Source organism: Homo sapiens, chromosome 2 (assembly GCF_000001405.40).
Source record: "Homo sapiens chromosome 2, GRCh38.p14 Primary Assembly".
NCBI classification, from domain to species: domain Eukaryota; kingdom Metazoa; phylum Chordata; class Mammalia; order Primates; family Hominidae; genus Homo; species Homo sapiens.
In genome coordinates, this window is record NC_000002.12 from 44,062,973 (window position 1) to 44,077,608 (window position 14,636).

A 14,636-nucleotide genomic window follows, 5' to 3' on the forward strand; every position below is an offset into this window, starting at 1 on the left:
CTAGATGGTGCACTGCAGTCTCTACTCTGAGGGTCATCATGGAGAGAGAGGTACAGAGTCATCTGTAGAGGAGTCCAAGCTGGTGACTGGTTGGGAGTTGCAGCCTGACCTCAGAAGATCTGCAGAACCAGTATGAGGAGAGGTGGAGCCAAGTCACTACGGAGGAGGTGGCAGCATTCCGGGGGGAACAGGGCTGTGCATTTCCCAAGCGAAGGGAACACATTGTGCTTCATGCCACCCATGATGCCTCAGCAGCAGAGGCAGAGAACCAAAGCCAATGCCTGGAGATAAGTAGGAGAAGGCAGCTCAGCTGGAGAGCACGTGTACAGCAGCAGCCCTTCCCACAAGGCCATGAGGTTCTGTAGGGCCTTACTGCTCTCAGCTACTATCTTGGAAGGGAGGAAGGGAAGCCTTCTCTGGAGGAGAGATTTTAGGGGATATTTGGAAGACTGAGCAATTTACATTTGAACGACTGTAATTTCTCAGCAAAAACTGAGTTAACAACTCTCAATCCCGCCATTTTTTTAAAGCTAGATGTAATAGAATTCGCCTATTTATTTATTTATTTTTGAGACGGAGTCTCTCTTTCGCCAAGGCTGGAGTGCAGTGGTGCGATATCGTCTCACTGCAACCTCCACCTCCTGGATTCAAGTGATTCTCCTGCCTCAGCCTCCCGAGTAGCTGGGATTACAGGCGTATGCCACCACACCCAGATGATTTTTTTTTTTTTTTTTTTTGAGATGGAGTCTCACTCTGTCACCCAGGCTAGAATGCAGTGGCGCGATCTCGGCTCACTGCAAGCTCTGGCTCCTGGGTTCACGCCATTCTCCTGCCTCAGCCTCCCGACTAGCTGGGACTACAGGCGCCCGCCACCACACCTGGCTAATTTTTTATATTTTTAGTAGAGACGGGGTTTCACCATGTTAGCCAGGATCGTCTCGATCTCCTGACCTTGTGATCCACCCACCTCGGCCTCTCAAAGTGCAGGGATTACAGGTGTGAGCCACCATGCCCGGCCCACACCCAGCTGATTTTTATATTTTTAGTAGAGACGGGGTTTCACCATGTTGGCCAGGCTGGTATTGAACTCCTGACCTCAGGCGATCCACTTGCCTCAGCCTCCCAAAGTCCTGGGATTACAGGTGTGAGCCACTGCACCTGGCCAGAATTAGCTTCAATTGGGAAGCTTAAGTCGTCACCTCATCGTAACCATTAGAGGAACTGGGGTCTTTTATTTTTTGTTTTTTGAGACAGAGTTTTTGCTCTTGTTGCTCAGGCTGGAGTACAATGGCGCAATCTCAGCTCAACACAACCTCTGCCCCCCGGGTTCAAGCGATTCTCCTGCCTCAGCCTCCAAGTAGCTGGGATTACAGGCATGCACCACCATGCCCAGCTAATTTTTTTGTGTTTTTAGTAGAGCTGGGGTTTCTCCATGTTGGTCAGGCTGGTCTCAAACTTCCGACCTCAGATGATCCGCCTGCCTCAGCCTTCCGAAGTGCTGGGATTACAGGCGTGAGCCACTGCACCTGGCCTGAGGAATGGGGTCAAGAGAGAAAGAAAAAGTAAGTTACAAGGAGTAAAGAAGCAGGCCTGTGCAGTGTCCCACACCTGTAATCCCAGCATTTTGGGAGACTGAGGTGGGAGGATCCCTTGAGGCCAGGAGTTTCAGACTAGCCTAGGCAATGCAGAGAGACTCTGTCTCTAAAAGAAACTAAAGAATTAGCCAGATGTGGTGGTGTGTGCCTGTAATCCCAGCTACTAGAGAGGCTGAGGGGGAGAGGATTCCTTGAGCTCAGGAGTTCAAGGCTGCAGTGCTTATTTATGCACTCCAGCCTGGGCAACAGAGCAAGACCCTGTTTAAAAAAAAAAGTGAAGAAGCTAATTTTTTCCCCCAGCTGAATTCTGATATGTAAATTTCATCCCTCCCAGTTCCCTCTTTCCCTCAAGCCTTATCCTAAACAACTACTTCCAAAGTTATCTTTAGGAAACACAGGTTTGATCATGATGCTTCCCTGTTCAAACCATTGATGGCACTCCAATTGCATGTAGAACACTACACTTGATCTTAGCCAAAAGGCTGAGAAGCAATTGCCTATAAAATAAAGTTAAAACTGCTAAGCTTTTCATACCCTGTCTATTCCCACCTACCATTTCCAGAGATATCAGCCCTGTCTCAAGACAGGGTTTTGCCATGTTGGCCAGGCTGGTCTCGAACTCCTGACCTCAGGTGATCCGCCCACCTCAGCCTCCCAAAGTGCTGGAATTACAGGCGTGACCTACTGTGCCCAGCCTTGGCTACTTTTTCTTTAAAGTTTTTGTAGAGATGAAGTCTTGCTATGTTGCCCAGCCTGGTATCAAACTCCTGGACTCAACAAACCCTCCAGTGCTGGCCCCCCAAAACACTAGGATTACAGGCATGAGACACCACGCCTGGCCCTAGCACAGTTTTTTGGGTTTTTTTTTCACTGTGTAAGGAATTTTTATTAAAGCAAGAATTTTATAATCCAAATTACGTTTCCTTGCTCAGTTATCAATTCTGTTACTTAAAACAGAACTGACATTTTGAGCTATTTCACAGTAAATAATTATAAAATTAAAGAAAGGAATGCTTTAAATTTTTGTACTTTGCTGAAAATTCTTTTTCCCGGGGTCTATAAAAGATTAATTTGTTTTTATATTTTACTACTTTTTGTGGTTTTTTTTGTTTGTTTTTAAATCAATAAGTAATCTAGGACTAGCATTATGTTTGCTAGACCTGGCATTTGCTCAGTACATAAGGTTCAAAGTTTCCTTTCCTTTTCTTATTTGTTTTATAGTTTGCAATTTTTTTCCATAATATTTAAGTTTTCTGATGTTTAGATATTTCTCTTCGGTGCAGCACAAGTTTCTTTTCATGGTTCCTGATCAATTTTAAACAGTTGAACAGCAGTGGCACTGTTAACTGCTTTCTGGGCAGCCTCTTTAGCTCGGTGGGCTTGTAGTACAGCTACAGCTTCAACAACCTTAGAATGGAGTGACTCTGGAGACTCGAGCATATGAAGAAGTTCTGAATTATCAGTCTCCAACCACATGCCAGTGATTTTACCAGCAAGAGTAGGGTGCATAGCTTGAATAAGAGGAAACAGCCGTTCACCCAATATTCGCTTTTGCTCCTGAGGAGGGGCAGATGCCAACATGGAAGCAAAGGTTCCTTACCTTGTACATGAACAGCAGCAGGCTGTTGCATTGTAACTTGAAGCACAGTTTTGTTTTTTGTTTTTGTTTTGTTTTTTTTTTACCATGTCTTTAAAGGGGTTTATTAACATTGGTAATGGCTGCATTAATTCAGGTGGCAACTTTTATTTATTTTTATTTATTTATTTATTTATTTATTTATTTATTTATTTATTTTTTATTGATCATTCTTGGGTGTTTCTCGCAGAGGGGGATTTGGCAGGGTCATAGGACAATAGTGGAGGGAAGGTCAGCAGATAAACAAGTGAACAAAGGTCTCTGGTTTTCCTAGGCAGAGGACCCTGCGGCCTTCCGCAGTGTTTGTGTCCCTGGGTACTTGAGATTAGGGAGTGGTGATGACTCTTAACGAGCATGCTGACTTCAAGCATCTGTTTAACAAAGCACATCTTGCACCGCCTTTAATCCATGTAACCCTGAGTGGACACAGCACATGTTTCAGAGAGCACAGGGTTGGGGGTAAGGTCACAGATCAACAGGATCCCAAGGCAGAAGAATTTTTCTTAGTACAGAACAAAATGAAAAGTCTCCCATGTCTACTTCTTTCTACACAGACACGGCAACCATCCGATTTCTCAATCTTTTCCCCACCTTTCCCCCCTTTCTATTCCACAAAACCACCATTGTCATCATGGCCCGTTCTCAATGAGCTGTTGGGTACACCTCCCAGATGGGGTGGTGGCCGGGCAGAGGGGCTCCTCACTTCCCAGTAGGGGCGGCCGGGAAGAGGCGCCCCTCACCTCCCGGACTGGGCGGCTGGCCGGGCGGGGGGCTGACCCCCCACCTCCCTCCCGGATGGGGCGGCTGGCCGGGCGGGGGACTGACCCCCCCACCTCCCTCCTAGACGGGGCGGCTGGTGGGGCAGAGGGGCTCCTCACTTCCCAGTAGGGGCGGCCGGGCAGAGGCGCCCCTCACCTCCCAGACAAGGCGGCTGGCCGGGCGGGGGGCTGACCCCCCCCACCTCCCTCCCAGACGGGGCGGCTGGCCAGGCGGGGGGCTGACCCCCCCCACCTCCCTCCCAGACGGGGCGGCTGGCCAGGCAGGGGGCTGACCCCCCCCACCTCCCTCTCGGACAGGGCGGCTGGCTGGGCGGGGGGCTGACCCGCCCACCTCCCTCCCGGACGGGGCGGCTGGCCGGGCAGAGGGGCTCCTCACTTCCCAGTAGGGGCGGCTGGGCAGAGGCGCCCCTCACCTCCCGGACGGGGTGGCTGGCCGGGCGGGGGGCTGACCCCCCCACCTCCCTCCCAGACGGGGCAGCTGGCCTGGCGGGGGCTGACCCCCACCTCCCTCCCGGACGGGGTGGCTGCCGGGCGGAGACGCTCCTCACTTCCCAGATGGGGTGGCTGCCGGCCGGAGGCGCTCCTCACTTCTCAGACGGGGCGGTTGCCAGGCGGAGGGTCTCCTCACTTCTCAGACGGGGCGGCCGGGCAGAGACGCTCCTCACCTCCCAGACGGGGTCGCGGCCAGGCAGAGGCGCTCCTCACATTGCAGACCGGGCGGCGGGGCAGAGGCGCTCCCCACATCTCAGAGGATGGGAGGCCGGGCAGAGACGCTCCTCACTTCCTAGATGGGATGGCGGCAGGGAGGAGGCGCTCCTCACTTCCTAGATGGGATGGCGGCCGGGCAGAGACGCTCCTCACTTTCCAGACTGGGCAGCCAGGCAGAGGGGCTCCTCACGTCCCAGACGATGGGCAGCCAGGCAGAGACGCTCCTCACTTCCCAGACGGGGTGGCGGCCGGGCAGAGGCTGCACTCAGCACTTTGGGAGGCCAAGGCAGGCGGCTGGGAGGTGGAGGTTGTAGCGAGCCAAGATCACGCCACTGCACTCCAGCCTGGGCACCATTGAGCACTGAGTGAACGAGGCTCCGTTTGCAATCCCTGCACCTCGGGAGGCCGAGGCTGGCAGATCACTCGCGGTTAGGAGCTGGAGACCAGCCTGGCCAACACAGCGAAATCCCGTCTCCACCAAAAAAATACGAAAACCAGTCAGGCGTGGCGGCGCGCGCCTGCAATCGCAGGCACTTGGCAGGCTGAGGCAGGAGAATCAGGCAGGGAGGTTGCAGTGAGCCGAGATGGCAGCAGTACAGTCCAGCTTTGGCTCGGCATCAGAGGGAGACCGTGTAAAGAGAGGGAGAGGGAGACCGTGGGGAGAGGGAGAGGGAGAGGGAGAGGGAGAGCAGTTTTGTTTTTTTTTTTAACCTCCCTCTTTTTTTTAACTTCCCCAAAGTGCCTATAGGATTCACTGCTCCCTCTACCATGATTCTATAACACTTTGTAAAGATCTGTTACAAATCCTGACACACTGTAATATCATTTGCTGTGAAGATGCCTGTATCTGTACTCACCCTTAGATTATGAATCCTACGCATCCTTCAAATCCTCACCTCCTTTTTATAGCTTTGTTGTTTGTCTCCTGAATGACTCTGCTGTTCTTACGTACCTTGTCCTAACCTTGGCACACTTAGGCAGGGGAGCAACAGAGTCACTGTAACTGCGATGGGATAAGAGATTTAATTCCATAGATTAAAGAGTTAGAATTTACAAAAGAGCTGGGGAACTGAAGATCCAGAACAGGAAGTTAGAGAATCAGAGAAAGAGTCACCCACCTGTCCATCCAAAGAGCCAACTCTATCTAGTCACTGAGGCAGAGGCATCCATGGGAAGCTGTTGCCTCTAGGTAGCTACCCTCTGTGTCAATTCACAACCAATAATTTGGTGTTGGGGAGGGGCCACTGTTGGTCAGTGGGGCCAGACTGGTCACAGAGAGGGAGAGTGAGAACAAGCTGGAAACTGCTGGGCAACTCTGTGTCTGTTGGTCATCTCATCTTACCATCAAATGACTCTCAGAGAAATGACTCCTCTTCCAAATCTCATGCAAGTTCTTTTGCCCAACTTTAACTCAGAACCATACAGAGAAGGAGACCCTGGGAACACCAGTGTAGCCAACTTGACACAGCACAAACAACCATGACATTGTATTATAGCCATCATTTACTTCTGTCTGTCTGCCCCTCAGCAAGGCTGAGAACTCCCCAGTGTGAGCAAGAATTCACTTACTTTTTTTTTTTTTTTTTTTTGAGACTGAGTCTTGCTCTATTGCCCAGGCTGGAGTGCAGTAGCACAATCTCGGCTCACTGCAACCTCCACCTCCTGGGTTCAAGTGATTCTTGTGCCTTAGCCTCCTGAGTAGCTGGGATTACAGGAGCGCTCCACCATGCCTGGCTAATTTTTGTATTTTTTTTTTTTTTTTTTAGAGACAGGATTTCACCATGTTGGCCAGGCTGGTCTCGAACTCCTGACCTCAGGTGATCCGCCTGCCTTGGCCTCCCAAAGTTTGGGGATTACAGGCATGAGCCACCATGCTCAGCCTGTCTTCCTTTTTTAAAAACTTTTTTTTGGTGTAGTCAAAGCCTAGGACATTATTGGCAGCATTGTAGACTAGATATCAATGGCTATTTTTGGAATTAAATTCAAAATGAAATACACTGAATTGAATAGACAGCAACTGAGTCTTATCCTTGTGTCTACAGCTCGGAGCACAGTACCTGAGGGCTCATGCTTCTCAATGGTGAGCGTCAAGTGGATATTTGTTAACACATGGAATTTCCCGGAGAGTTTGTTTCAGAAGGAAGATGGAATACACTTTGAGTGGAGGGTGAATCTGAGGATAAGTTCCAGCTGTTTCTATTGTTCATTGTTTGATTTTTTGATACTAGCCATTCTATTAGAAGAAAACATAGGAGATATGCTTCAGGACATAGACTTTTTTCATTCAAGATTAATAGAAGACATGGGCAGAGGGGTATGTGTGCGGGGGTGGAGGAATTATGCCCTTTTCCATGGGAATGAGAGAATGTGGAGAATGGTGCCTTGTGCAGAACAGAGCTCAGGGAAGAGAGAGGTAATTGAAACACCTGGTGATACCAAACCGTCATCTCAAGATTTTCTTATTGCTAAGCGCATGTTTAACTTCTTTTTGGTAATTTGGCTGGGAATCTGCCTCTACGGCAGTAGTTTGTCCACTTAAGTATATCTATATAAAATCAGCAGTGCCTTGTTGTTTTAATAACCTGTTTCACTCGACCAAATGAAAAGCCAGATTTTGACAGATTCCTTCTTGATTGGGGGATGTGTGCTGCTGTCTATCTGTAGAGATGGAGAATTGTGATTGGTGTTTTGTTTTTTTTTTTCGCCCCCACAGTTAAAGCATGCTCCTGGCTTAGGAACGGCAAGAAGCCACAGTGTCTTGCAGCTGCTCCTAAAGACTTCTTATCTGGGTGTGGGGGCTCACACGTATAATCCCAGCACTTTGGGAGGCAGAGGCAGGCAATGGCTTGAGCCCAGGAGTTCGAGAACAGCCTGGGCAACATAGTGAGACCCCCCCCATCTCTATTAATAATAATAATAATAATAAAACAAAACCTTCTAATTCTGGGTCAACCCTATACTTCCCCTGACCAGCTGTGGAGCTTTCTTCATCTAGGGCAGCAAGACGTCAAAGGCAGAGGAGAGGTTGACGCTTCCTGAAATCAGAATTTGTCCTCATACAGCAACTCTTGCCAGGCCTAGAAGAGAAAAACCTCTCAAAATTTACCTGCAAAAAAGGGAGAGAAAGAGTAAGAAAAAGTTTACTCACACTGGAAAAATGCCATGGTTAGCAATGACCAACAAAAGCTCTTCCTGGATTAGGAGTGCAGACCTAGATACTTTGGCCTGACCATTGACTGAAATCTCTCTAGTCTGATCTCTTAATACACACACACACACACACACACACACACACACACACACACAAACTCGTACTAGATACATAAGAGTATATTGGCCAGTTGCAGTGGCTCACCCCTGTAATTCCAGCACTTTGGCTGAGATGGGTGGATCACCTGAGGTCAGGAGTTCAAGACCAGCCTAGCCGACATGGCAAAACCCTGTCTCTACTAAAAATACAAAACTTAACCAGTCAAATAATAAAAAGTGTTGGTGAGGATGTGAAAATATTGAAAACTTCATATACTGCTGATAGAAATATAAAATGGTGCCATCACTTTGGAAACCAGTCTAACAGCTCATCAAAAATTTAAACATAGACTTTGCATTTGGTCCAGCAATTCCAGTCCTAGTTGTATACCCAAAAGGAACAAAAATAGGGCCAGATGTGGTAGCTCACGCCTATAATCCCAGCACTTTGGGAGGCCGAGGCAGGTGGATCACTTGAGGCCAGGAGTTTGAGACTAGCCTGGCCAACACGGCAAAAACCTGTCTCTACTAAAAATACAAAACTTAGGCTGGCATGGTGGCACATACCTATAGTCCCAGCTACTCAGGAGGCTGAGGCAGGAGACTCACTTTAACCTGGGAGGCGAAGGTTGCACTGAGCCGAGATTGCACCACTATATTCCAGCCTGGGTGACAGAGTGAGACTTTGTCTCAAAAAAAGAGTATATTGCCTGTGTTATGAGAAGAACCAGTTGTACTTCTTATAAGAGGCTTCAATTTGCATTTCCTTAATGATTAGTAATATTGAGCATTTTTTCATATATTTGTTGCCCATTTATGTGTCTTTTAAGAAATGTTCATTTCAGTTTCTTTGCCTATTTTTAAATCAGATTATTTGGGGATTTTTGCTGTTGAGTTGTTTGAGTTCCTTGTGTATTCTAGATATTAGCCACTTGTCAGATGAATCATTTTCCCCCACTCTCCAGGTTGTCTCTGTACTTTGTTGATTGCTTCCTTTGCTATGCAGAAGCTTTGCCATTTAATACAGTCCCATTTGGCTGCTTTTGTTTTTGTTGCTTGTGTTTTTGAAGTCTTAGCTCAAAGCTTTGCCTAGACCAATCTCCTGAAGCATATCCCCTATGTTTTCTTCTAATAGAATGGCTGTTATCAAACAAACAGCAACAGATACTGGCAAGGATATGGAGAAAAGGGAACTCTTATATACTGTTGGTGGGAATGTAAATTAGTATAGCCATATGGAAAAGAATATAGTGGTTTCTTAAAAAAAAAAAACAACTACAACTAAAAATAGAGCTACCATATGATCCGTCAGTCCTACTACTGGGTATTTATACAAAGGAAAGAAAATCAGTATAACAAAGGGATACCTGAAACCTCATGTCTATTGCAGAACTATTCACAATAGCTATGATAGTTTGGGCAAAGTGGCTTACACCTGTAATACCAACACTTTGGGAGGCCGAGGTGGGTGGCTCACTTGAGGTCAGCCTGGTCAACATGGTAAAACCCTGTCTCTACTAAAAATACAAAAATTAGCCCGGTGTGGTGGTGCATGCCTATAATCCCAGCTACTGGGGAGGCTGAGGTACAAGAACTTGAACCTGGGAGGTGAGGTTGCACTGAGCTGAGATAGCGCCATTGCAACCCAGCCTGGGTGACAGAGGGAGACAAAAAAAAAAAAAAACCTCACAATAGCTATGATATGGGATCAACTTAAATGACCATCAACAGATGAATGGATGAAGAAAATGTGGTATATACACAATGGAATACTAGTCAGCCTTAAAAAATGAATGAAATCCTGGCGTTCACAGCAAATGGATGAGCCTGGGGAACGTTATGTTAAATGAAACAAGGCAGGCACAGAAAGATAAATACTGCATGTTCCCACTCACATGTGGAAGCTAAAAAAACTTTTTTGAGCTCATGAAAGTAGAGAGGAGATCGTGGTATTAGAAGTTAGGAAGGGTAGGAAGAAAGGAAGGATGCAGAGAGGTTGGTTAAAAGATAACAAAATTACAGCTAGTTAGGAGGAATGAGTTCTAATGTTCTTCAGCACTGTAGAGTGAATATAATTTATTGTGTATCTTCAAAAAGCTAGAAGAGAGGATTCTGAATGTTCACAACACAAAAAATAATAAATATTTGAGATGATGGGTATGCGAATTACCCTGATTTGATCATTATACATTGAATACATGTATCAAAATATCACTCTGTATCCATTAATATGTACAATTATTGCATGCCAACTAAAAATAAAGGGAGCAGGGAAGAGCTTTCATTTATAAGGCACTTTTTGCAAACATTATCTTGTTTCATCCTCACATGAGAAAACCGAGGGTCAGAAAATAGCTTGTCCAATGTCACATAGATGTCAAGTGCTGGAGTCTTTTTACTCCAAAACCCATGCTATTTCAGCACCTCAAAAGTGCCTCACACACACACAGGGAGCCAAAGCCACCGGAGGGTTTGTTAGAGGAAAAAAATATTAAAACTATATTTATATGGCTGGGCACGGTGGCTCATGCCTGTAATCCCAGCACTTTGAGAGACTGAGGCAGGTAGATCTCCTGAGGTCAGGAGTCTGAGACCAGCCTGGCCAACATGGTGGAACCTCATGTCTACTAAAAATACAAAAATTAGCAGGGCATGGTGGCATGTACCTGTAATCCCAGCTACTCGGGAGTCTGAGGCAGGAGACTCAATTGAACCTAGGCGACGGAGTTTTCAGTGAGCCGAGATCACACTGCTGCACTCCAACCTGGGCAACAGAGCAAGACTCTGTCTCGAAAAAACAAAAACAAAAACAAACAAACAAAAAACAATATTTATAGCTGGGCATGATAATTATGTGGGGCCTGAGACAAGAGGATCATTTGAGCCCAGAAGTTTGAGGCTGTAGTGCACTATGATTGTGCCTATGAATAGCCACTACACTCTAGCCTGGGCAACATAGCAAGACCCCAACTCTAAAAAAGTTTTTTTAACTTAAAAAACAATATGCTAGGCCAGGTGTAGTGGCTCATGCCTGTAATCCCAACACTTTGGGAGGCCAAGGCGGGTGGATCACCTGAGGTCAGGAGTTTGAGACCAGCCTGGTCTAAATGGTGAAACCCCATCTCTACTAAAAATACAAAAAGCCAGATGTGGTGGCATGTGCCTGTAATCCTAGATACTCAGGAGGCTGAGGCAGGAGAATCACTTGAACTTGGGAGACAGAAGTTGCAGTGAGCCTAGATTTTGCCACTGCACTCCAGCCTTTGCAACAGGGTGAGACTGTGTCTCAAAACACACATGCACACACACACACGCACACGCACACAAAACTATATTTATAACTGGGCACGATGATTATGTGGGGCCTGAGGAAACAAAAAACCCACTATGCTAATAGTGTGACCTTCATCTGTATGAAAACATATTTATATGTATATACACCTGCACAGAAAACAGGAGGGCACAATACATTGAAATAGATGGGTATATTGGTGACTTGTTCTTTTTGACTCTCAGTATAACCTAGAGCAGCAATGTCCAATAGAGCTGTCTGCCATGATGGAAACGTCTGTGTTGTCCAATATGACTAGCCACTAGTGACATGGGTTTATTGGGCCCTTGATGATGTGCTATATCTGTGAAGTACACACTGGGTTTTTAAGACTTGGTCTGAAAAGCAAAATGTGAAATATCTAATTAGTTATTTTTTATATTGGTTAAATGTTGAAATAATAATATTTTGAATATATTGGGCTAAATGAACCAGTGTCAAAATTAATCTTATTTATTTCTTTTTTCTTCTTTTAATGTGGCTATTAGAAAATTTTAAATGATATATGTGGCTCACACAGTATATTTCTATTGAACAGCACTGGTCTAGAGTGCTTTTTTTTTTTTTTTTTTTTTGAGACAAGGTCTTACTCTGTCGCCCAGACTGGAGTGCAGTGGCATGATCTCGGCTCACCACAACCTCCGCCTCCCAGGCTCAAGTGATTCTCCTGCCTCAGCCTCCTGAACAGCTAGGATTACAGGCGCATGCCACTACGCCCGGCTAACTTTTGTATTTTTAGTAGAGATAGTGTTTCGCCATGTTGGCCAGGCTGGTCTTGAACTCCTGACCTCAAATGATCCACCCACCTCGGCCTCCCAAAGCACTGGGATTACAGGCATGAATTACCGCACCCGGCCTAGAGTGCTTTTTGTTGTTGTTTTTTCTTTTAGTCAACTGATCATATCACATGGTCTAGAGTTTAAGTGCATGAAATTTGAAATCAGACAAACTGGAGTTTAATTCCCAGTCTTCACTTTTCTAACTAGGTGACCTTGAGCTGGTTACTTAATCCCCAACCCTTGTTTTTTTTTTAGTTGTCAAACAGGGGTAATGGCTGAACCTAACTCAGATAGTTCTGTGAGGATTAAATGAGTCGCTCTTGTAAAGGGCCTATTACAGGGAATACCTGCCATATATTAACTGCTCAATAAAAATTAATAGTTATTCTGATTTCTAAATTTTCTATGGTGAATATGAATTTTTTATGTAATAAAGAGTAAAAAGAAAATCAAAACAATTAAATTTAATATTAAAGCAATTTATCCTTAACTACAATCAGAAGATAAATATGTTGTTCTAAAGCTGTGTGATAATGTTTGCTTTGTCATGTATTGGGGGTGTGTGTGTGTGTGTGTGTGTGTGTGCGCGCGCAACCCTTGGATGGGAGTGGAGTTGAGGACCGTGACGTGACCATTTATTAGGTAATCTCATTCTTCCCTCTGACCCTGGTCCTCTCTATTCCATCAAGGGGAGGGGATAATTGCATCATGGTTCTCCCTGGCACTCACAACACACCATGTGTTCGCCTATATTTAGCCAACATGAAGTCACTGAAACTCTATGCCCACTGGAGGCAATTTGTGCTTTGTTGTTTGTGGCTCACATGGCTTCTATCCTGACTGCTCTGCATAGTTTATGTCCTTAGATGAATTTAAAGGACTGAAAACCTTTTGTTGGTGGAAAAACTGTGTTTGGGGAGTCAAAACTGAAATACCAAATCAATGAGATCCTTGGAAGCGTCCCTGAGATGAATACCTGATGTTTCTTGCAAGCCAGGGAGACCTCAATTATCCTCTTCTTTGACAGAAGGAGAAGGACCAGGGTGAGCAGGCTGGGGAGGGAGGAATTGTCTATATTCCACTCAAATGGTAAAAGCAACACGTCCATTCAGCGGCTCCCAGTTACAATGCCAACTCTACTCTCCTTCCAGCAATTAGAAACGACACATGGAGGCCCGGCACAGTGGCTCATGCCTGTAATCCCAGCCCTTTGGGAGGCTGAGGCAGGTGGATCACTTGAGGCCAGGAGTTCGAGACCAGCTTGGCCAACTTGGCTAAACCCTGTCTCTACTAAAACAAAATATTAGCTGGGTGTGGTGGTGCATGCTTGTAATTCCAGCTACTCGGGAGGCTGAAGCACAAGAATCACTTGAACCTGGAAGGCAGAGGCTGCAGTGAGCTGAGATCTCACCATTGCACTCCAGCCTGGGTGACAGAGCGAGACCCTGTTTCAGGAAAAAATAAAAATAAAAAACATAAGGGCTGGGCGCAGTGGCTCATGCCTATAATCCCAGCACTTTGGGAGGCCGAGACGGGTGGATCACTTGAGGTCAGGAGTTTGAGACCAGCCTGGCCAATATGCTGTAACCCTGTCTCTACTAAAAATATAAAAATTAGTGGGGCATGGTGGTGCACACCTGTAATCTCAGCTACTCAGGAAGCTAAGGCAGGAGAATTGCTTGAATTGCTTCAACCTGGGAGGTGGAGGTTGCAGTCTGGGCAACAGATTAAGACTCCGTCTAAAAAAAGAAAAAAAAAAAGAAATGACACACAGAATGAAGACACATAGCAGCTCAACAAGCCTAATATTACAAGAGGACAAGAGATGGAGGGGCTGCCCACAAGGTGTGGTTTCAGAAGTTCAACCTGTTGGCTGCTACTTAGATTTTACTCTCAGTGTCTCCTTCCTCTAGCTTGAGGCTCTGAACGTGTGTGTGTGTGTGTGTGTGTGTGTGTGTGTGTGTGTGTGTAGGCAGGTAAACATTGGGAACCTCAGCTTAGCATCTCAATTCTCAATTTTTTGTCTGTCACTTTGGATGAAAATTGTAGAAGAGACTTACTCCTATCAGAGAATACAGTTTTGTTTAACAAACAAAATAGTTTCAAGGGAGTGGGCAAAGAAATAAGGCAAACACTATTATGTATATTTTTGAGACAGGGTCTCGCTCTGTCACGCAGGCTGGAGTACAGTGGTTCCATCATAGCTCACTGCAGCCTCGACCTCTTGGGCTCAAGCGATCCTCCCACCTCAGCCTCCCAAACTGTTGGGACTGCAGATGTAAGCCAGTGTGCCCAGCCAATAAGTTTTAAATAGTCATTTAGTCATTAATTCAACAAATATTTATTGAGTACTCAGTGTGAATAATACTAGTTACATTTCACTTGTGTCATTGCTTTATCTGTTTCTATTAATCATAATTATTTATATATTTTTATTACAAATTAACAATTTATAATTGTATATATCTATAGGGTAAAAAGTGATGTTATGATTTATGAATACAATGTGGAATACGTAAGCCAAGCTAATTACCATATCCATCACCTCAAATATTTATC